The 20,715-nt window shown below is 44.9% G+C and overlaps 1 protein-coding gene, 1 long non-coding RNA gene and 1 pseudogene across 11 annotated transcripts in view, besides 2 other annotated features; 1 reads left to right on the top strand and 2 right to left on the bottom strand.

Annotated features, from left to right (window-relative positions):
• Positions 1–20,715, bottom strand: part of HMGXB4 (HMG-box containing 4) — a 54,272-nt gene that overhangs the window by 28,937 nt on the left and 4,620 nt on the right. For 2 of the 5 annotated variants that reach the window (NM_001362972.2, XM_006724101.5), the window contains exons 1-4: positions 9,314–9,378; positions 3,645–3,793; positions 2,997–3,075; positions 1,268–2,223 (exon numbers count right to left, since the gene is read on the bottom strand). In NM_001362972.2, coding sequence (NP_001349901.1) covers positions 1,268–2,155 — 888 coding nt within the window. In that variant the 5' untranslated portion in view covers positions 2,156–2,223; positions 2,997–3,075; positions 3,645–3,793; positions 9,314–9,378. Of the gene's footprint in view, positions 1–1,267; positions 2,224–2,774; positions 2,890–2,996; positions 3,076–3,644; positions 3,794–4,449; positions 4,549–9,313; positions 9,379–11,181; positions 11,327–20,715 lie in introns of those variants that run through there. The other 3 variants (NR_027780.2, XM_047441067.1, NM_001003681.3) reach the window with 3 other exon arrangements.
• The window catches only part of LOC105373017 (uncharacterized), a 28,883-nt gene continuing 13,513 nt past the window's right edge, over positions 5,346–20,715 (top strand). Inside the window, exons 1-4 of one of the 6 annotated variants that reach the window (XR_007068086.1) lie at positions 5,346–8,683; positions 9,610–9,658; positions 13,742–13,864; positions 16,498–16,607. This is a non-coding gene — a long non-coding RNA (uncharacterized LOC105373017). Of the gene's footprint in view, positions 8,684–9,421; positions 9,659–13,741; positions 13,865–16,497; positions 16,608–17,128; positions 17,219–20,715 lie in introns of those variants that run through there. The other 5 variants (XR_938210.3, XR_007068085.1, XR_938211.2 and 2 more) reach the window with 5 other exon arrangements.
• Positions 8,819–9,318: a silencer, noted in NCBI's record as "silent region_13652". NCBI's record gives its function as "represses an Ori minimal core promoter by ATAC-STARR-seq in GM12878 lymphoblastoid cells {active_cell/tissue: GM12878}" and the evidence as "EXISTENCE:reporter gene assay evidence [ECO:0000049][PMID:35858748]".
• Positions 9,584–10,084: an enhancer, noted in NCBI's record as "H3K27ac hESC enhancer chr22:35652780-35653280 (GRCh37/hg19 assembly coordinates)". NCBI's record gives its function as "activates a minimal SCP1, AML or CMV promoter by ChIP-STARR-seq in primed H9 embryonic stem cells {active_cell/tissue: H9 hESC(primed)}" and the evidence as "EXISTENCE:reporter gene assay evidence [ECO:0000049][PMID:30033119]".
• On the bottom strand, positions 17,038–17,099 carry RNU7-167P (RNA, U7 small nuclear 167 pseudogene; annotated as a pseudogene).

Below are 20,715 nucleotides of genomic sequence, written 5' to 3'. Positions count from 1 at the left end.
CTGGGACTATAGATGTGCACCCCCACACCAGGCAAATTTTTGTATTTTTTTGTAGAGACTGGGTTTCGCTATGTTGCCCAGGCCGGTCCCGAACTCTTGGGCTCAAGGGATCCACCTGCCTCAGCCTCCCAAAGTGCTGGGATTACAGGCATGAGCCACCACACCCAGCCCCAGATTCTTAATACATTTGATTTTCTCGTTCTTAGTCGCTTTTCTTCCAGATTTTATCTGACATTGCATTTTGCAGAACTATAAATAAAAAAAGAAACTTTTAATGACATAGTTATGAGACCCTAAAGTTCACTGCCAGAAACTGTTATGAGGAAAGAAATCAAACCAAGGTGACTGATTTATCATTCCTATCTCCCTAATCAACAGTGAGCTCCCTAAAGTCAACAACTATGTCCTGCTTGTGTTTTTACTTCCTGGTACTATCTACAGCATTGAGCTTGGCATACAGCAAGCACTCAGACAGTAAAAGAACATATATTCGACACTAAAAAGAATACCAGAAAGTAGCCAACACCAGCTGGTGGAAAGTCATTAGCTATTCTGTTAACTTGACTGCTCATTGTTCTACCAATTTTGATAGTCTGTTTTTAAAAATGAACTCAAAGAACACCTTTTGACATCTCCCAACTGCCCTAAGCAGACAGTGATGCTAAGTGAAAGAAATTGGGTTTAGCTCCTTCTGTGAATTCTAAGAACTAGCTGGAAAAAGCCACAGTGTAACTAAACCTATTCCTGGCACAATGGGAGAATAACTCTATTAAGAAACCCTAGGCCGGGCATGGTGGCTCATGCCTGTAATCCTAGCACTTTGGGAGGCTGAGGTGGGTGGATCACTTGAGGTCAGGAGTTTGAGACCAGCCTGGCCAACATGGTGAAACCTCGTCTCTATTAAAAATACAAAAAAAAAAAAAAAAAATTAGTCGGGTGTGGTGGCGGGTGCCTGTAATTTCAGCTACTTGGGAGGGTGAGGCTTGAACCTGGGAGGAGGAGGTTGCAGTGAGCCCAGACTGCACCACTGCACTCCAGCCTGGGCGACAGAGCGAGACTCCATCTCAAAAAAAAAAAAAAAGATTGCTTCTATATCAGACAGACTGGGCTACTGGTAATATTTTATACTTTATATCATTCCAACATATCCCCCAAACATGCTTAATTCCCAGTGGTTTACCTCAACTGCTTAACTTAAAAGTCCACTGACTACCCAGGAAGAACCTGCTTAATCTCTTACCCCCACCACACTTAAAAGATGCTTTACCTTTTCTCCTCTCTCTCTCTCTTTGTCCTTCTCTTCTTTTTTCTTTTTTTTTTCACTATGCCCATCTGTGTGGAGGCCAGGAAGTGGCAGGGGAGGTGCTGCTGCTCCAGCGTATGGGATGCTGGGAGGAGGGCCAGATGTCACTGTGACCTCTCCCACTGGCACGGCAGAAAGTCCTAAACTTCTCTTGGACTTGGAGTGTCGCTTCTCTTTATGCTTCTCCTTGTCTTTCTTCTTTTTGCTCTTCTTTGACTTCTTTTTCTTCTTGATTTCTCGGTAAGAATCATCTATCACTAACTCCCCAGCCTCTAGTTCCCCACCAGAGGATGAGTCTGATTCTACCAGAATAGGTTCAAGCCCTGAAAGATCAAGGTTAGCACTGTGGGACTCTGCGAACTGGGAGGCGTCAGACCCACAGCCTTCAGGGCCAGGAGATGAATGTGCGTCTGAGGATGACTTGTGCTTTTTCCGGGCTGTTTTCAGAAAGCTCTGTAACTCATGTCCTAGGAGTAAAGCACCCTGCTCATCCCGAGCTGATTTCTTTGAGGATTTTTTCACAGTCGCTTGTTGGGAGGGATATTGAAAAGACTCCTCATCAACAGAGCTGCTTCCCTTCTCCTTTGGTGACAGAATAAGTTTCATTTTTAAACCATCAGGCTCCCGAAGGGTCAGTGTCTCTGTGTTCACATAGAGAGGTTTCATTTTTTTCGATTTGTGGGAGCCACCATCCTCTAGGGGTAGTTCCCCACTGCTTCCACTGACTTTCTTCCTGTGGTGCTCCTTTTTACTCTCCGAATGGCTTGAAGAGCCAGAGGATTTCTCCCCAGTCTTTTTGGAGGGCTTGGAGCCTGCTGCCAGTGGGGAAGTGATAGCTTTCAACAGGTCCATAGCTGTATCAGTAGACTGTGGGCTGGACTTTTTCTTTTTCTTCTGTGACGATTCCAAAGACGAAATATCTAGAAATAATCAAGAGAAGTACTGTCAATATGATGGGAAGCAACTTCTAACAAGTTTCCTCTCTCATCAAAAGCACCTAGCTAACATGAGAAAGAGGCTAACAGGAATGATTTGAAGGGAGACCCTTTAACTGATTCCTAACATTGAGAAATGATGCCCTTGTGCTTCTTGGCTTGGTAGAGTCTGCCTCTGACCCTGGACACAGTTCTTGCCACTAAAGTTGTTTCTCTTCATTGAGTCTTCAGAAGCAACCAAAGAGCACATACCCAGAAGAACTGACTATAGCTGTGGGATTATGGGAAGTTAACAATTCAGATTGCAGACAGAGTATCATTTGTTTCTGTGTTCAGGACAAACCCATTCTGGTGAAAGTTGAGTCTCATCAGCTATGTGCATAACATAGCTAAGAAAACTGGTTCTGTGAGTGGATATATACTGGTTGAGAAGTGACCCACAGGTGCAGGCCAGAGGACTACGTATGGCAAAAGGGATGCTAGATAACAATGGGCACAAGATAAGTGGATGATTGGGGGGAGAAGGAACCTGGTACCTGGTGTATCACAAATGCAGACTGTTCTTCTATGCTGAATCCTCCAAAATACCAGCCCTCCACCTCTCTCCTCCTTCACACTGGTTTATCGGCACTCAGAACAAGAACCACTGTCCTGTTAAATAGGCCACTGAGTCAGCAACATCTGGATCCCTTTCCCCTACCCCGACTCCAAGAACCAGCGATGTGTTTATCCCACCTGTTGCCCATTCCCATCCTCACCTCCATAGTAGTAATCATCAGAGGAGTGCTTCCTCTTCTTCTTGTGTGTGTCCGTCCCCAAGAAGTAAAGTTCACTATCCTATAATTAAAGAAGAATTGACCAATAATAAGATGATGAGGCAAATGCAGTTTGTAACCACTCTTGTCTTTGATGATTTTTGATTTTGGGAAACAAAGCACAAGAAATAATAAAAATAGATGTGCATAACGTTTTATTTTTCTTTTCTCAAGTTATTAAAAAATACTTCCTTCTTCAAATATTAGGAAATATGGTAAGAAGTAGTTTAAGACTTTCCTGGCGCAGTGGCCCAGGCCTGTAATCCCAGCACTTTGGGAGGCGGAGGCAGGTGAATCATTTGAGGTCAGGAGTTTGAGACCTGCCTGGCCAACATGGTGAAACCCTGTCTCTGATAAAATACAAAAATTGGCCAGGCGTGGTGGCCCGCGCCTGTAATTCCAGCTACTCGGGAGGCTGAGGCAAGAGAAACGCTTGAACCTGGGAGTCGAAGGTTGCAGTGAGCAGAGATTGTGCCATTGCATTCAAGCCTGGGCCATGAGAGAAAAAAAAAAAAAACAAAAAAAAACTCTGCATCACCAAAAAAAAATGAGTAGTTTAAGACTTTCCTAATTTAAATTTTCAGGACTTACCTTCAACTTCTTCTTGGAAGAATTCCTGACCTGAGCAGCAATTTCTTCCTCTTCCCTTAAAAAATCTTTGTAAGAACGTTTTTTCTCTCGTTGGCTTCGGCCAGCTGCAAGTCCTATGTCCTCAAAGGTATGATCACCATCAAAACAATCTGAGAAGCACAGGTTTATTTGGGAAAGGAAATGAGAAAGTCAAGTAAGTAATGACCAAATCGTCATGCAGGTAATGCAACAGTTCCTCTATTTCCAAATTAAAACAATGTTTCAATCAAGTCCACTGAAATACAGGGCTAGACCCAGGGGAACAGAATATTTCTTGATGACCTAGCTGCAAATACAAGAATCAAACCTGAAGAAACAATGTTTCCATGCTATGCAAAGGCCCCATGTGCAACCTCAGATATGGTTTCTGAGTTGTGATTTGGTAGGAGGACACAGACTTGCAGACGAAAGGCTGAAAAGAATAAGGATTCATGTGCTGTGCTGCTCTCTGTGGGAGTCCAGGATGTGATTCCTATCCCCAGACTCCTGCACACTGGAGCTGGCAAGGACCAAGAGTGCTGCAGGGGATCACCCCAATAAACTAAGAGACTCATATTTCAGACTCTCGTGTTGGAACCCCTGTCCTGGTTTTCGTTTCCATGGGCCCAGTCTGGGGATGGCGTGGAGGCTGAGTGTCATAACAGTGCTCTGGACCATCACTTGGGAGTCCAGGCTGTGGTGCCCAGTCCTGGTCTCTATATCCATGGGCTGCAAGGATTGAAGAGGATACCCCCTTTGGAATGCTTCTCAGATTATGGGGTCATACCTTCTTTCTTCACGGAGTCATCATAAGCCATGGTGGTCCTGCAGGGCCTTTGAGAATGTGTCACTGTGTCCAGGCTCCTTCCCGTCTACAGGACCAGGTCTGAGAAACAAAGAAGGAAAACCCTCCTGTAATGCGAAATCACTGAGGAGAAGCAACCTTCCAGATGGAAATGCGCAGTGATCCAAGGGCTGACTGGAAGGGCAGCAAGAAATAAAAAGTGTCTTGTCACCTCCTCATTCTCTTTGTAAATACAGTGGGGTTGATACTGCAGGAAGTATACTAGGCTTAATTAGATTTCAGTCATGAATTAAAGTTGTCATTTGGGGAAGTATATAAAATACCTCCAATACAAAAAATATTTTCAAAATTAATGAGAATTTCTAAAATGCCAACAGGACTGACAACACTGAGACAGGGTAGAAACCAACATTAAGTTAGAGGGATAGGTTCAATCATGGTTACAACATACACAAGTAAAGCAAGATGCAGAGAAGACAGATCACATCAAACATTTGAAGACCACAAAATCCTACCAACTGGATTGGTGAAGCGGTAAAATCTATTGCATTGTAATTTAAACAGAAATGATTAACTGTATAGGGATGTTAAATATCTTTAGAGCACAATGTCTTTTGCATTTTTTGGGGGGGGCGACATGAATTTGTTCAAATTTATGTAACTGTAAAAGCAGGTACACTCCTTACATCAGTTGACCATATGACAGCTGTCACCACCACCAAGGCTTTCTTAAAGGCTAGGTGAAAATAGGGAGACATTTATCATTTGTCCACTGGTCATAAAACTTTTATGATTATTAAGACCTTCACTAATAAGAATTGCTATAATTTAAATGTTCTAGATATTGTATTTTTTATTGAATTTTTACAACCTTTTTTGGCATTTGAGTTTATATGTCCATTTTGACTTTGAAGATGACAATGCTATAAAATGCACTGTAAGGTAAAAGGATTTTTTTTTTTTTTTTTGAGATAGAGTCTTGCTCTGTTGCCCAGGCTGGAGTGCAGTGGCACGATATTGGTTCACTGCAACCTCCGCCTCCCGGGTTCAAGCGATTCTCCTGCCTCAGCCTCCCGAGTAGCTGAGATTACAGGCGCCTGCCACCGAGCCTGGCTAATTTTTGTATTTTTAGTAGAGATGGGTTTTCACTATCTTGGCCAGGCTGGTCTTGAACTCTTGACCTCGTGATCCACCCACCTCGGCCTCCCAAAGTGCTGGGATTACAGGCGTGAGCCACCGCGCCCAGCCAAGGTAAAGTTCTTTAAATGTTTTAAGAACAAGCAATTTCATAAGTCCTTCAGGAATTTTAAAATTACATATTAAATATTTTGGAAATGTTCTCATCCAATTAAGTCAGATGCTTACAAAGTTAATCTAATTGATCATTTATTTAAATTTAATTTTACCTTCATTATTATAAGGGTATTTAGAAATACTGAAGGACACTTAAATGACACATTACTAATTCCTTCAGGTAGCTGTGGACAATACTGAAGCATGGAACTTTTGTGAAAGAAAAGATGAATTTGATTAACAAGGGAGACTTTCATAAGAGTTACATTAAAAAGACTTATTTGCACAATCAGATAAAATACAATGTACATACAGGTAGGCCTAAATGGGAAAATGAAGCATTACCAAGAATGATTTATTAGATTAAGAAAAGAAACATAAAAAAGCATTTCTTCACTTCTCTGAGAAGTGAAATAAAGAATGGATTTGGTCAAAGTAAGAGAAGCTAGAGTAATGAAACTATATTAACTGGATTGTTTTAAAGTTCAATTGGAGAACTGCCTGTTCGAAGGGCCTTTTCATAGGAAACGAAGGGGACATAAGGTCAGGCCTCAGATAAAAATGTGAGGAGGCAAGATACATAATGTAGCCAGTTTTCCATGTTCCAGCATTTAAGGATGACACTTTCTCAGCGGAAACTACTGTCCTCCCCTTTCCACCCAAGTGGTGCTGACTCCAAAAGGGGTGCAGGTAGAAGGGAAATACAGGGAATTATATCAATTTATTTGAAAACAGCATATCCTCTCAATGGCACTAAAATACTGAGTTTATAAGAAAAATATATAGATTATATAGATTTTCATAGGCTGATAATGCCAAGAACCAATGGAGACCTCAAATTAAACACTTTCTGTGCATGAATTTTGGCAAAGAATATTTCAGAAATAATGGCAAAAAACTTAAATATTCAATGTCATAAATACAGTCATCAGTGTTTTGTCAACAACAAAATGCACTTGTATATGTAAGCAAAGGCTGGTCCTGAGACTTATAACAGGCCTTCCCTTTGGTAACATCAAAATCAACATAAAACAGAGTTGGGCAACCTAACAGAATAGAAATAAGTACCTCTGAAGACAGAAAGAAAGAAAGATGACTGTATCGTGGTCTCGTTACTGGCTGCTTTAAAAAACTAGTGGATTAAAAAGTTGTGAGAGGGAATAGAAAATTAGGAACTGCTTCTCAGAGGCACAGGCCAACCAAGAAAATGTGGTGTTGGCATTACATATATTAGGTCTACCACTGTTTAAATTTTCTTAAAAACACTGAAGAGCATTTTATAAATTACTGGATTAAATAACCTGAAGAAAAAAGAAGGAATGAGGCCTGAAGACACGTCCAATTCACTGAAGAACTGGGGCAGCCAAGAGCTTGAAAAACTAAAATTAAACACAACGGACTGTATCAGCCACAGCTTGGGCAGACCGATGGGCCCTGAATTTCTACGTTCTTTAAAATCAGGATATTATTGCAGCTCAGGGTTTAGTTTTGGAAAGATACCAGATAAATCTCAAGCAACAGTGTGAAAGAAAGGCAGAGTTCAGGCAACATTTATATAAGATCAGATGAACCCCTGATATTCCTTCCAGGTCTTGAATACAATCTGTGAAAATTCAGAGTTCAGGGGTAGAGAGTAGATTGTGAGGATTAATGAAAATGAATATTAGGTTTGATTTTCACATTAGAAAAGGGAGGTCATAATTACATTAAATGTTGGCAAATGTGAAACAGGTGTTAAAACCCAGTCTCAATTCAATAATTTGGGAGTTTATAAAATTCAATGTTGTCAACTCCAAGAGGCAAGAATAATTTTGTTTGTCTCAGTGTGCTAAGATATGACAACATAAGTAAAAGTTCACTATTTCATACTGTTGATACAAGTAAAAAACTGGTACCATAAAAATGTATACTTATGAAATGCACAAATTGTTAAATAGCTCTTCGGGGACTTTTCTTCAGGATATGAAAAAGGAGGGGGCAGAGTTGCTCTTTCCCTGGTAGATAAGCATACAAGTTATGTTCAGGCATAGGCCTTTGGGATGACCAAAGTAATCAGGAGGAAAAAGTCCTCAGATATAGCACTTTGTCATTTTGAAACTTCAAATTACAGTTAAAAAACAGGTTTCAGACTTTTTTTGAGGTAACTTGAGCTCCTGCAATCAACAACCTTCTTCACCCCATAATGTAAATGAGTATCGAAAAAAAGGAAACAAAGTAAGCCCCGTCACACGGACAGTAAGAGAAATTCTGAACTCCAGGTCTGTTCCAGGATGAGAGCCATGTCCAAGATTCTGCATTCTCTTCTTCCAACCACTCCTTTCAAGAACTCAAAATGCCAGTCAGTGCAGGTAAAGGAAGATGCACATCCGCCGGTTGCCAATTTCTGAAATTTTCTTGTTACTTCTACGATACAGACAAGTGATGCCTTCTCAACTTCGTCCAGGTTTCTTCCAATCTCCGAACACGGTGACTCCGAATCCTCTTGCCACTCCCTTCTCCAGGGACCTACCTAGGCAGCACTCCCAGCCCCTGCCAGCTCTGGAAGCTGCAGAGATCCCGACAGTCGGGGATGGGGATTGAATCCTCTCATTGCAGTGCAATTAAGCGGAACCACGACCACCGCACAGATTGGCTGACAACACACATTCCATAAGACCAGCAATCGAATTTTGAGAAGCCTTGTCCAATCAACAGGCTTTATTTGGGATTCAGTTTTTTACTTTGTTCTATTAGGAGGAAATATAATCAGCCACCAGCTTAGCCCTCCAAAAGAGGGGACAGAGATGTTTCTCCGCTTTTGCACGCTATAAAGTGAATCTACAAGTAGTAGTTGGTGGAGGGAAAATGGGCCTGCATGGAGAAGGCGCCCACCACGAAGGCACGGCCAAGCCGGGTTGCACGCAAGAAACACACAAAATACCAGGTGATTTACACAAACAGCCCCCAGGACCACCATTTTTGTGGTCCCCAAGGCAAACCAGTGGGATTCTCCCGGCAGTTTTGCGGCAACAGCTAGCTCAACAAAGCTCTGTGAAGAGGAAAAGAAGAAAGCTCCTCGTACTTTCTCCTGCCAGCCGCAGCCCCAGCCCTCCCGTGGCCGCGGCCACGAGCCCTTTCCCCCTGACAGCCCGAGGGACCCCCGCATCGCGGGTTCCGAGCCGCACAGCTCGACCTGAACCCGGGTTCCCGCGTCTCCGGCGGCCTCACGGCGCCCCCGAGGGCGGAGACGGCCCGGGCAGGGGGAGGGGCGGCCCGGGTCCGCAGGCCCCCGGGGCGGCCGCACGCCCCCTCCCGGCCCCGCAGCTTTCCCGCCTTCCCCGTTTGAACAGCTCCCGCCCGCCCTCCTCCTTCTGCCCGCTCCAGCCCCTTCCTGGGGGCGGCTGCGGCCGCTACTCCAGTCCCCGGCTCGGCCCCTGGGCTAGGCCGCGAAGGGCCTGGGGCACCCCAGAGGTGATGTCGCGGGCCCAGGGCGGCGGGTGGCGACGGGGCGGGGCTGCTGCCGCCTCAGGGTGGGGGCCCAGCCCGGTCTCCTGGGGTCTCCGCTCGCCGCTACCTTCACTCGGCTCGCCCGGATCCCGCCTCAACGCCGCCGATCGCCGCCATCTTGGAGAAGGAGAGAAAAGCGCGAGCGGCCAGGGAGCCTCAGTCGAGCCCAGAGCGCAGACTCGGGCTCCGGAGGGGGAATCCCGCTCGACCAAGAGCGCCGAGCGCATCGAATAAAACTCGGAGCCTGCTGAGCGCGGGAGCTGGCACTTATTTATTGAGAATTTGCTATGTCCCAGCCTTGCCCTAGAAGCTTACAAACATTATTTCACTTAATCCTCACTGTATTCCTGTCGCATTTTGCAGAAGAGAACCAGGCTGAGAGAAGTTAAGTGACGTGCCCAAGGATACACAGGTAGTTGGAATGTGAGACCGAGTATTACTCCAAGTCTTCTGATTCTGAATGCAGTGCTTTCCCCAAAATACTATGCTGTTTCTTTCAAGATATTGTTATACAGCAGTTCTCCTCTTTGCAACACCTAGATCTATGCAGATTAATAGCAGTGTGCTTATTTGGACTTCAGCATCTACATTTGAACATTTGGCATATTAGGGGTGAGGTGAAGAACTTATCTTTGTAACAATGTACAGTAAAATAATTTGCATGGCGAATCATCTACATTTTTTAGTTAGAAACAGTCTTCAGAGAGAGAGAGGAAGAGATGTCATATACAGGCGAGAACACAATTTTTCTGATTTGCCATTGAGAACTTCGACCAATGAGTAGAAATTACAGTGTATAGAACTTGGTTTGATATGAAGAAGAACGCCAGGGGCGGTGGCTCACGCCTGTAATCCCAGCACTTTGGGAGGCTGAGGTGGGTGGATCACCTGAGGTCAGGAGTTCGAGACCAGCCTGACCAATGTGGTGAAACCCCGTCTCTACTAAAAATACAAAAAATTAGCCAGGCGTGGTGGCGCGTGCCTGTAATCCCAGCTACTTAGGAGGCTGAGGCAGGAGAATCGCTTGAACCCGGGAGGCGGAGATTGCAGTGAGCCGAGATTGCGCCACTGCACTCCAGCCTGGGGGACAGAGTGAGACTCCATCTCAAAAAATATATATATATATGAAGAATAACTTATTTTTCTAGTACAGTTCAGTAGTACAATGGGCTTCCTTGTGAGTAGTGAGCTCCCTCCCACTGGAGGAGCGCTCAAGCAGAAGCTGGTGTTACTGTAAAGCAGAGAAGTTAGAGATGTAGATTGGCTTCTAGAGTTGTGAACCCCATGCAACGTAAAATCATGTGTGCAGTGTGTGTTTTCCTAGGGCCCAGGCCCCATAAAAAATTAAGAACCTCTGTCCTAGTGTATTTTCCATTGCAGAGTTGGGTGAGTGCTTGAAGACGAGGTAGTCATGAGACCAATAAAAGCAAGGTGATTTGTCTGAGACCACACTCTAATCAGTGATCAGATAAAGATGAAAAGCCAGATTGTTAGACTCTGGTTCAGTGCTCTTTTTGCTATATCATGCTCTCTCCCCCTCTGCACTGAGTAGAAGATTGATTCTGTTTCTTACAACTGTGAGATGCTGAGATGTTAAAACACCTGAGATAAAGTTGCTGAAATCATTTGCAAAATGTAACTGCAAATACTTAATAAAAGTAGCATGGCCTTTTTCTCCGCAGCTCCCATCCTACTCACCAAAAAGACAGGCAATGAGTTTCACCAAAAGGTGTTAGATTGCATTTCTGGGACACCCTGCCTGACGTTAGGCTTCCCTTTGAGGCATTTAAGAGCCCTAATGATGTATTTCCTTTTTGTTCTTCAGAGCCCTAAATCCATTGGTCAGGATGATTTCAGTTGTGACAGAAACCCATTTCCATGTGTTTCCCCAGAAGAGGGGAATTTATTGGCTCACATGATTGAAATTTCCAGTACCTGCAGACATGGTCACTTCCAGGGAGGTAACTCAAGCTGGTCCTTTGACGTGTCTGTGGTGCTCTCCTCTGTTAGCTTTATTCTCAGATTCAGGTGATGACTCCAGCAGCTCCAAGCTTCATCATCTTTCCTGCTAGCAGTGTCCCTGTGGAGGGAGGTTTTGTTTGTTTGTTTTGAGACAGGGTCTTTCTCTGTCACCCAGGCTGGAGTGCAGTGGCACGATCACAGCTCACTGCAGCTTCGACCCCCTGAGTTCAAGCAATCCTCCCACCTCAGCCCCCCAAGTAGCTGGGACCACAGGTGCATGCCACCATGCCCAGGTACTTTTTGTATTTTTTGTAGAGATGGGTTTTTTTTGTTGTTTTTTTTTTACCATGTTGCCCAGGCTGGTCTCAAGCTCCTGGACTCAAGCAATCCTCCTGCCTTGGCCTCCCAGAGTGCTGGGATTACAGATGTGAGCCACCATGCCTGGCCCTGGAAGGAGTTTCTTTTTCCCTTTTGCTTTGGCAAAAGTCATGGGATTGATTCTTATTGCCTGAATTAGATCATGTGTCCAGACAAAAAGCAATCACTATGAGTAAAGGTGTGGAGTCTGCTGCTGCTGCTGATTGGTTAAATTAGGTCATCTGCTTACCTCCAAAATTAGGTTGGGGTAGACACAAAGAAAATCAAGGGTTGCTGTCAGAAGGGTGAGTGCATGTTAGGTAGGCAAAAACAGTAGCTGTCCCCACACTCTACCACTAGCTTGGACCTAAAAGCCTTATGAGTCCTATTGGTCCCATTTCTTCTTTTAGTCCACCTGAAGATGGAGCATATCAAGTTCTTGCTCATTTTAAGCTCCTGGAGACCTGAAGTCAGATCTCTCCTCAGCCTACTCACTCAATCACAAAATGCTATTAACTTGCTCCCAGTCTTGGATCATTGCACTTCCATTTATTAAACAGATATTTATTGAAAACACAGCATGTGGCAGGTACTGTCTTAAGTGTTGGGAATAGAACAGTGAACAGAATTGAGAGTCCTTGGCCCCCAGGAGCTTACATTCCGGTTGGGTTGGGGGACACAAAATTAAGATATGAATACTACATTCAGTGATAATCAGAGGTGGAGAAAATAATGCCAGGTTGGCTACGAGAGTACCAGCAGGGGATGTGGGTAGGAACAGCTTGTTCTTTAAAACAGTAATCAGGGAGGCTTCTCTGTTGAGGTGCACACCGGAGCTAGCTCAGCCAGAAGTGGGTTGGTGGTGGGAGCCAGGAGATCATAGTTCCTTGAATGTATTCAAGTGCTTCCTCTGTACCTTGCTGGAAAAGTATTCTTTGCTGACTATCTTTCATAGTTCTCTTGCATTTTTGAAACTTGGAAAGACAGAAAAGAGGACCCTCTGGGCAGGCCTAGTCATGGTGGGGTTTGTGAATAAGAATGCCTTTTCCCATGGCAAGTGAGGATAGCATCTAGCATATGTGAAGAGGGGGCACTCCCTAAGTGTGGGGCAGTTCTCTGGTCCACCTGATCTAAGGAAAACTGCCTGGTGCCTGGCAGCAACAGGTGGGGCCTGTCAAATTGTGCTTGGTTTGGACATCTCTTTCTTCAGGCCACTTTTCTGTGCTCTTCTCTTTCCAGATGTGTTTTGAGCAGCGTCTTTGTCTTCGGTCTGATGGGAGGATGCCATCCTGGGTACATACATTAGGCCAGGGCCTTTTGCTAGAAGTGACAGGACCTAATTAAAACTACCTTAAGAGACAGGCAGAGGGACATACCACAGATTCTCAGTCTGTGTGTATGCCCTAAATTGCAAAATTAAAAAAATAAAGAGACCAGTAGAAAATATGTAACTCATGTAAAAAACAAAACAAAACAAAAACTACTCAGAGCCAGAGAGAAGCAGGCCCTCTGGACAGCTGGGTCCGGGGATTCAAATCCTTCCCTCTTAACTCTGTTCTCTCAGGCTGGCAGTCCCTAGGGGCCTGGAATCATGGCCACAGGTAGCCCAGGCTTACATCTTTATAGTCTCCTGACCAGAGAGGAAAGAGCATGTTCCCACATCAGCAACACACATACACACACACACACGCGCGCGCGCGCGCGCACAAAATCCAAGAGAAGAACTCCAATTGGCTGGGATGGGGTCATGTGATCATTCAGTATTGTGATAGTTCCTGGGATACCACAAAGTTGCAATAGGACATTAGTCCTTCTATAAAAGAAAGGGGATCTATTCTGGGAAGACAAATAATAAATGTCCCCTATGGTGAAGCAATGATACTTGTTTTCCTGCTTTTGAGCAACTTATTATCTTCTGTGTGTATGTGTGTTTTGTGGGCAATGTAAAACAAGTCTAAGTCCATAATTACTATGGTACAAATGTAAAAGAAAAATGTGCCCCAATAGATGGGCCATCTCTCATTGGGCTATTACAATAGCTTCCTAATGGATTTTTATCTTCAGGGCCCCTTCCCCACTTCGAAGTCCATCCGCCATTGCTGTCAGGATAAAGCACTGCTAACATGAGCTTATACTTCAGCTAATGACTTTTTTCTTTTTTTTTTTTTTTTTTGAGATGGAGTTTTGCTCTTGTCGCCCAGGCTGGAGTGCAGTGGCATGACCTCGGCTCACTGCAACCTCCGCCTCCCGGATTCAAGCGATTCTCCTGCCTCAGCCTCCCAAGTAGCTGGGATTACAGGTATGTGCCACCACACCCAGCTAATTTTTGTGTTTTTAGTAGAGATGGGGTTTCACATGTTGGCCAGCTGGTCTTGAACTTCTGATCTCAGGTGATCCGCCTGCCTCAGCCTCCCGAGCTGGGATTACAGGCGCGTGCCATCATGCCCAGCTAATTTCTGTATTTTTAGTAGAGATGGGGTTTCTCCATGTTGGTCAGGCTGGTCTCGAACTCTTGACCTCATGATCCACCCGCCTTGGCCTCCCAAAGTGCTGGGATTACAGGCGTGAGCCACTACGCCTGGCCACATTTTCTTGTCTCTAATGGGTCCCCCACACTCCACCACTTTTGCCAGCTCATGCATCTAGCTAGCAACATGCAGCTAGAAAGCTCCTATTTATTCTTCAAGATCTAACTTGATACTGACAGATAAATAGATAAACGTGGCATATACGTACAGTGGGATATTACTCAGTCTTAAAAAGAGGGAAATCCTGCCATCTGTGACAACATGGAAGGAGATTATTCGAAGTGAAACAAGCCCATCACAGAGGGACAAATATTGCATGATCGTGCTTCTGTGAGGTCTCTGTAATAGTCAAGCTCATAGAAACAGAGAATTCAATAGTTGCCAGGAGCTGGAGCATGGGGGAAATGGAAAGTTGTTGTCCAGTGGGTGTAAAGTTTCGGTTATGCAAGATGCATATGTTCTAGAGACCAGCTATACAACAGTTAGCAATACAGTATTGTGAACTTCAAAATATAAGAAGGCAGATCTCGTGTTTAGTGTTTTTTGTTTGTTTGTTTGTTTTTGAGACAGAGTCTCTCTCGGCCGCCTAGGCTGGAGTGCACTGACACGATCTCAGCTTACTGCAGCCTCCACCTCCTGGGTTCAAGTGAGTGTCCTGCCTTAGCCTCCCAAGTAGCTGGGATTACAGGCACGCACCACCACACCCGGCTAATTTTTGTATTTTTAATAGAGTCGGGGTTTCACCATGTTGGCCAGGCTGGTCTCTAACTCCTGACCTCAGGTGATCCACCCGCCTTGGCTTCCCGAAGTCCTGGGATTACAGGAATGAGCCAGTCACCGCACCTGACCAAAACTACCATGTTAAGTGTTTTTTTAACCACCAAAACCGAGCCAAACCAAAACACCAAAAACAAAAACAAAAGGACACATGGAAACTTTGGGAGGTGGCAGATGTGTCTATTACCTTGATTTTGATGATGGTATCATGGGTATTTGCATATGACCCAGTCATCAAGTTTTACACATTAAATATGTGCACTTCCTTGCGTATCAATTATACCTCAATAAAACTGTTTAAAAAAGATTAGATAAAGCCACGAAAATAATCTAATTTGAATGCCCCCTCTTCAAGTCATCTTATTTTCCCACACACCTGGTAACATGTATCTATTACTGCATTTCCCATATTGCATTGCAACAATCCTTTTACACACCTTGTTCCCCTGTTCCTCAAGGACAGGGCCTGTTTCTAAGTCATCTTTGTCCCTCTGGGCACATGGTGAATACAGTTTTCAAAGAATCCTTTTGATTAGATGTCACTGAATGAAGAGTGGGACAAAAAACTTTTCTTGGGACTCAGAGGAGGCAGATGAGAATTGTTTTGGAAAGTTATAGGAGTTGTAGGCCGGGCGCGGTGGCTTATGCCTGTAATCCCAGCACTTTGGGAGGCTGAGGCAGGTGGATCACGAGGTCAGGAGATCGAGACCATCCTGGCTAACATGGTGAAACCCCGTCTCTACTAAAAATACAAAAAAATTAGCCGGATGTGGTGGCAGGTGCCTGTAGTCCCAGCTACTCGGGAGGCTGAGGCAGGAGAATGGCATGAACCTAGGAGGCGGAGCTTACAGTGAGCCAAGATCGCGCCACTGCACTCTAGCCTGGGTGACAGAGCAAGACTCCGTCTCAAAAAAAAAAAAAACAGAAAGAAAGTTATAGGCATTGTATTGGCAATGGGTTTGGTTTGCCCAGTCCATCCCCCATTGTCTGTAGCAGGAAAGGCCACTGCCCAGGCTACAGGAGTGGGCAGATAACTCCAGCCAAGGTAATCATAATACATCCACTTGAGCTTTCCTGCAGGTGTTTGAAAACTTCAGAAGGAGTCAAAAGGCCCTTTGTAGCTCTCAAGTGGTGAGGATTATGAGGGGCTGCCCCAAGCCATGTGGGTAGAGACTGTGAAAATCAGAAAGACACAGAGAGAGGCTCAGAGATGCTTGGTACCTGGATCAAGTCATCCCTGAGGTCCCTGCCCCTGCCCCTGCCCCTTCAGTGTTATGTCATGTGAGCCAAGCATCTCCCCCACTCCCCTTTGTGTAAGCTGACCGGTTTGCTCCTCTGTCATTTGGAACCAAGAGGACCTCCCGGTTGATATGGTGATATGGTTTGGATGTCTTGTCCCCTCCAAATCTCATGTTGAAATGTGACCTTCATGGTTGGAGGTGGACCTAGTGGGAGGTGTTTGGGTCATGGGGGGCAGATCCCTCATGAATGGCTTGGTGCTGTGCTCCTGTAATGGGTGAGTTCTCTCTCTAGATATGCATAATGAATGAGTTCTTGCTTTACGAGTTCATGTAAGATCTGCTTGTTTAAAAGAGGCTGGAACTTCCTCCTCTCTCTCTTGCTCCAGCTCTCTGCATGTGACACGCTGACTCCCCTTCTGCCATGATTGTAAGTTTCGTCACTAGAAGCAGATGCCGACACTATGCTTCATGTACAGCCTGCAGAACTGTGAGCCAAGTAAACCCCTCTTATTTATAAATTACCCAGTCTCAAGTATTCCTTTATACAATGCAAATGAACTAGTACATGCAGCTTCAGGGAAGAGGGGGCCTTTGAGCTGGTCCTTGTCTGTGGGTTGGAATGTGGTGGGGTAGGATGGGAGGACATTCCTGATGGGAGAAACTGGGTGAAAGGAGGTAAGGAGGGTCAGTACTGCCTTGTGTCTTTGGAATGACAAGCAGTGGCATTTTCTGGTATGTGGCGTCAGTTCCTGAGAGTTCTCAGGGAAGGTTGGGAACATGCTGAGGGTTTGTACTTAACCTGGAAGGACCTGGGCCAGCCCCTACCTTCTCCTCCAGAACTGCTGCCTCTCCCTCCCATCTGTGCATTTGTATCTCATGGTGACTCTCTCCATTAAAATATTTTTTTTTCTTTTCTTTTTCTTTCTAGGGGTTTTCTGGTGAAGACCGGAAAACCTGCTAGACAAATTCTAAAATAGCAGTAACATTTTACATTTTGTCTTCCCCTTCTTTTCACAGAATAATATTTAAAAATGCGAAGATATTTCAAAGTACAAACATCCATGTACCCACCACCCAGAGTGAATACATATTAACATTATTCTACTATAATGGCTTCAGATTCTTTTTTTTAAAAAAATTGTTTTAGTTAAGAAAACACATGAACACAGTTTAGGCCCCAGATCTATCCCCAGCACCCTTCTCAGAGGAATAGAAATTGGTGTGTCTTTCCTGTCCATGTTCTGATCACCTATTTGCAGGAGAAGCAGTATAGCCCATATTTGATTACATGCAGTACAAAATATTGGTAAGAGTCAAGAAGTTAAAAAAAATTAAAAAGTTTATAAAGTAAAAAAGTTACAGTAGCAAGGTTAATTTATTATTAAAGAAAGAAAATTAAAGGCCAGGTGCAGTGGCTCACGCTTGTAATCCCAGTACTTGGGGGAGGCTGAGGTGGGTGGATTACCTGAGGTCAGGAGTTCGGGACCAGCCTGGTCAACATGGTGAAATCCCGTTTCTACTAAAAATACAAAAATTAGACAGGCGTGGTGGTAGGTGCCTGTAATTCCAGCTACTCAGGAGGCCGAGGCAGGAGAATCACTTGAATCCGGGAGGCAGAGGTTGCAGTGAGCCAAGATCGTGCCACTGCACTCCAGCCTGGGTGACAGAACAAGACTCTGCCTCAAAAAAAAAGAAAAGAAAATTATAAAAATAAATTTAGCATAGCCTAAGTGTATAGTGTTTATAAAGTCTACATTAGTGTTTAGTAATGCCCTAGGCCTTCACATTCATTTACCACTCATTCACCCAGTCACCCAGAGCAACTTCCAGTCCTGCAGGCTCCATTCATGGAAAGTGCCTGATACGGTTTGGATGTTTGTCACCTCCAAATCTCATGTTGCAATGTAATCCCCAGCATTGGATGGGGCCCGGTGGGAAGTGACTGGATCATGGGGGGGGATCCTTCATGAGTGGTTTAGCACCATCCTCTTGATGATAAGTGAGTTTTTCTTCAGCTGGTTCACTAGAGATCTGGTTGTTTAAAAGTCTGGGACCAGCCGGGTGTAGTGGCCCGTGCCTGTAATCCTAGCACTTTGGGAGGCCAAGGTGGGTGGATTGCCTGAGCTCAGGAGTTCGAGACCAGCCTGGGCAACGTGGTGAAACCCTGTCTCTACTAAAATATGAAAAATTAGCCAGGTGTGGTGGCGAGCGCCTGTAGTCCCAGCTACTCGGGAAGGTGGCAGGAGAATCACTTGAACCTGGGAGGTGTAGACTACGGTGAGCTGTGATTGCGCCACTGCACTTCAGCCTGGGTGACGGAGCGAGACTCCATCTCCAAAAAAAAAAAAAAAAAAAAAAGTCCCGACCTCCCCTGCCCATTGCTCCTGCTCTCGCCATTGCCTTCTGCCATGATTGATTGTTCACTTCCTGAGGGCACACCAGAAGCAGATGCCAGCAGCATGCTTCCTGTAAAGCCTGCAGAACCATTAGCCAATTAAACCTCCTTTCTTTACACATTACCCAGCCTCAGGTATTTCTTTGTAGCAATGAAAGAACTGGCTAACACAGTGCCCTATACGGGTGTACCATTTTGCAACCTTTTGTACTGTATTTTTATTGTACCTTTTCTATGTTTAGATATGTTTAGATACAATACAATTGTAACACAAATACCATTGTGTTACAATTGCCTACAGTATTCAGAGCAGTTACATGCTATAGACATTTGTAGCCTAGGAGCAATAGGCCATACCATGTATCCTGGGTGTGTGATAGGCTATCCCATCTAGGTTTGTGTAAGTGCACTCTCTGGTGATTGCATAACAATAAAATCACCTAATGATGCATTTCTCAGACTGTATCCCTGTTGTTAAATGACACATGATTTTGTTAACAACTTGTTTTGCTCACTTAAAATTATGTCTTTGGGAGACTTTGCTTCCAGCTAAGTTGGAGTAACAGGGACCAGATTTCCCCTGCTGCCTGGGATAATGAAAACAAACAAACAAACAAACAAACAAACCAGCAAAAAAAAGTCTAAAATGGTTTTCAGACATTATGCATCGGGCAGCACAAGGGAGTGACCTCCGAGACAGGGAGACAAACTATGGCTGCCTTGGCTTAATGCCTGGAGAGTTTCCAGAACAGTTTATTGATCTCTTTGGAGCCCCATGGTATCTCTGAGTTGAGGAGATGGAGTGGGGAGTTTGGGGAGGCCAAAGTGGCTGGCATTCACACGCAGAGCATGGAAGAGGAGAGCGCTAACTGGAAAGACAGTTCCAGCTCTTGTGAGAGTCCCTCTTGCATCTTCAGCAAATAGTGATCAGCTAATGCATGCAAAGACAGCACCCAATGCTGGAGAAGGCCACCTGAAGGACTGGAGGGAACAATCTCTGTAGCTCGTGGAGTGCTGGAACCATATGGGTTCCCATCAGCCAGGACGGACATCTGGTGGTGCACTCGGGAGTGAGGGAAATTAGCCCTAGAGTAAAGGCCTCTCTGATCCATCCAACAAGGCTTAGAAACAAACCTTGAAAGCATCAAACTGTTTTTAAGTATCTTCACTGTGTCACAGAACAAAGCTCAAGACAGTCTATAGGAATACAAATATCCAGTGCCCAAACAAGGTAAAATTCACAATACCTGGCATTCAATAAAAAAATCACCAGGCATGGAAAAAAAGCAGGAAAATGTGACCCACAATGGGAAGGAAAATCAATCCATATAGACAGACCCAGAAAAGACACAGATGACAGAATTAGAAGACAAGGACAATAAACACAGTCATTATAACTATATTCCATATGTTCAAGAAGGTGGAGGGAAGATTAAGTGTGCCGAGCAGGGACACAAAAGATGTAAAAGGAACTCAAGAAGTCATCTGGTTCCAGGAAGATGGCGTGGATGTGCTTCTTCCTGTCCTTGCTAAGTACAACTAAACACCTTGGATTTTACATACAAAACAAATGCAAGAAGATACTGCAAGGTGGGGAGAAGAAGGCAGAACAACCGGGGACCTCAGGACCTGAAGAAGTTCCCTGGGGTTTCCTTTTGCCTGATATATACCAGATGGGGTGCTGGAGGAGTGGGCAATGTGGAAGAGCCAACAGGGGCACACAAAGCCCAACAGAAGCATGCTCTTTCTAGCCAGCCACCCCCTAGCAAGACAGAGAACTTTGAGAAAATACGGCCGGGAGCGGTGGCTCACGCCTGTAATCCCAGCACTTTGGGAGGCCGAGGCAGGTGGAACACGAGGTCAGGACATTGAGACCATCCTGGCTAACACGGTGAAACCCCGCCTCTACTAAAAAAATACAAAAAATTAGCCGGGCATGGTGGGCACCTGCAGTGCCAGCTACTCAGGAGGCTGAGGCAGGAGAATGGTGTGAACCCGGGAGGCGGAGCTTGCAGTGAGCCGAGATCGTGCCACTGCACTCTATCCTGGGCGACAGAGCGAGACTCCATGTCAAGAAAAAAAAAAAGAAAATAATTGCTCCACTCCAGTCAAACACCACAGAATAGGCGGTGGACCCATACCACCTGTGCCAGCAAAGGCTGAGTGGGGAGCCCAGACTTCCACTTTCTTTGAGCACCTCAACCCTGCC

The sequence above is a fragment of the Homo sapiens genome, chromosome 22 (assembly GCF_000001405.40).
Source record: "Homo sapiens chromosome 22, GRCh38.p14 Primary Assembly".
Lineage (NCBI taxonomy): Eukaryota > Metazoa > Chordata > Mammalia > Primates > Hominidae > Homo > Homo sapiens.
This window is presented reverse-complemented; position numbering and strand designations above follow the sequence as displayed.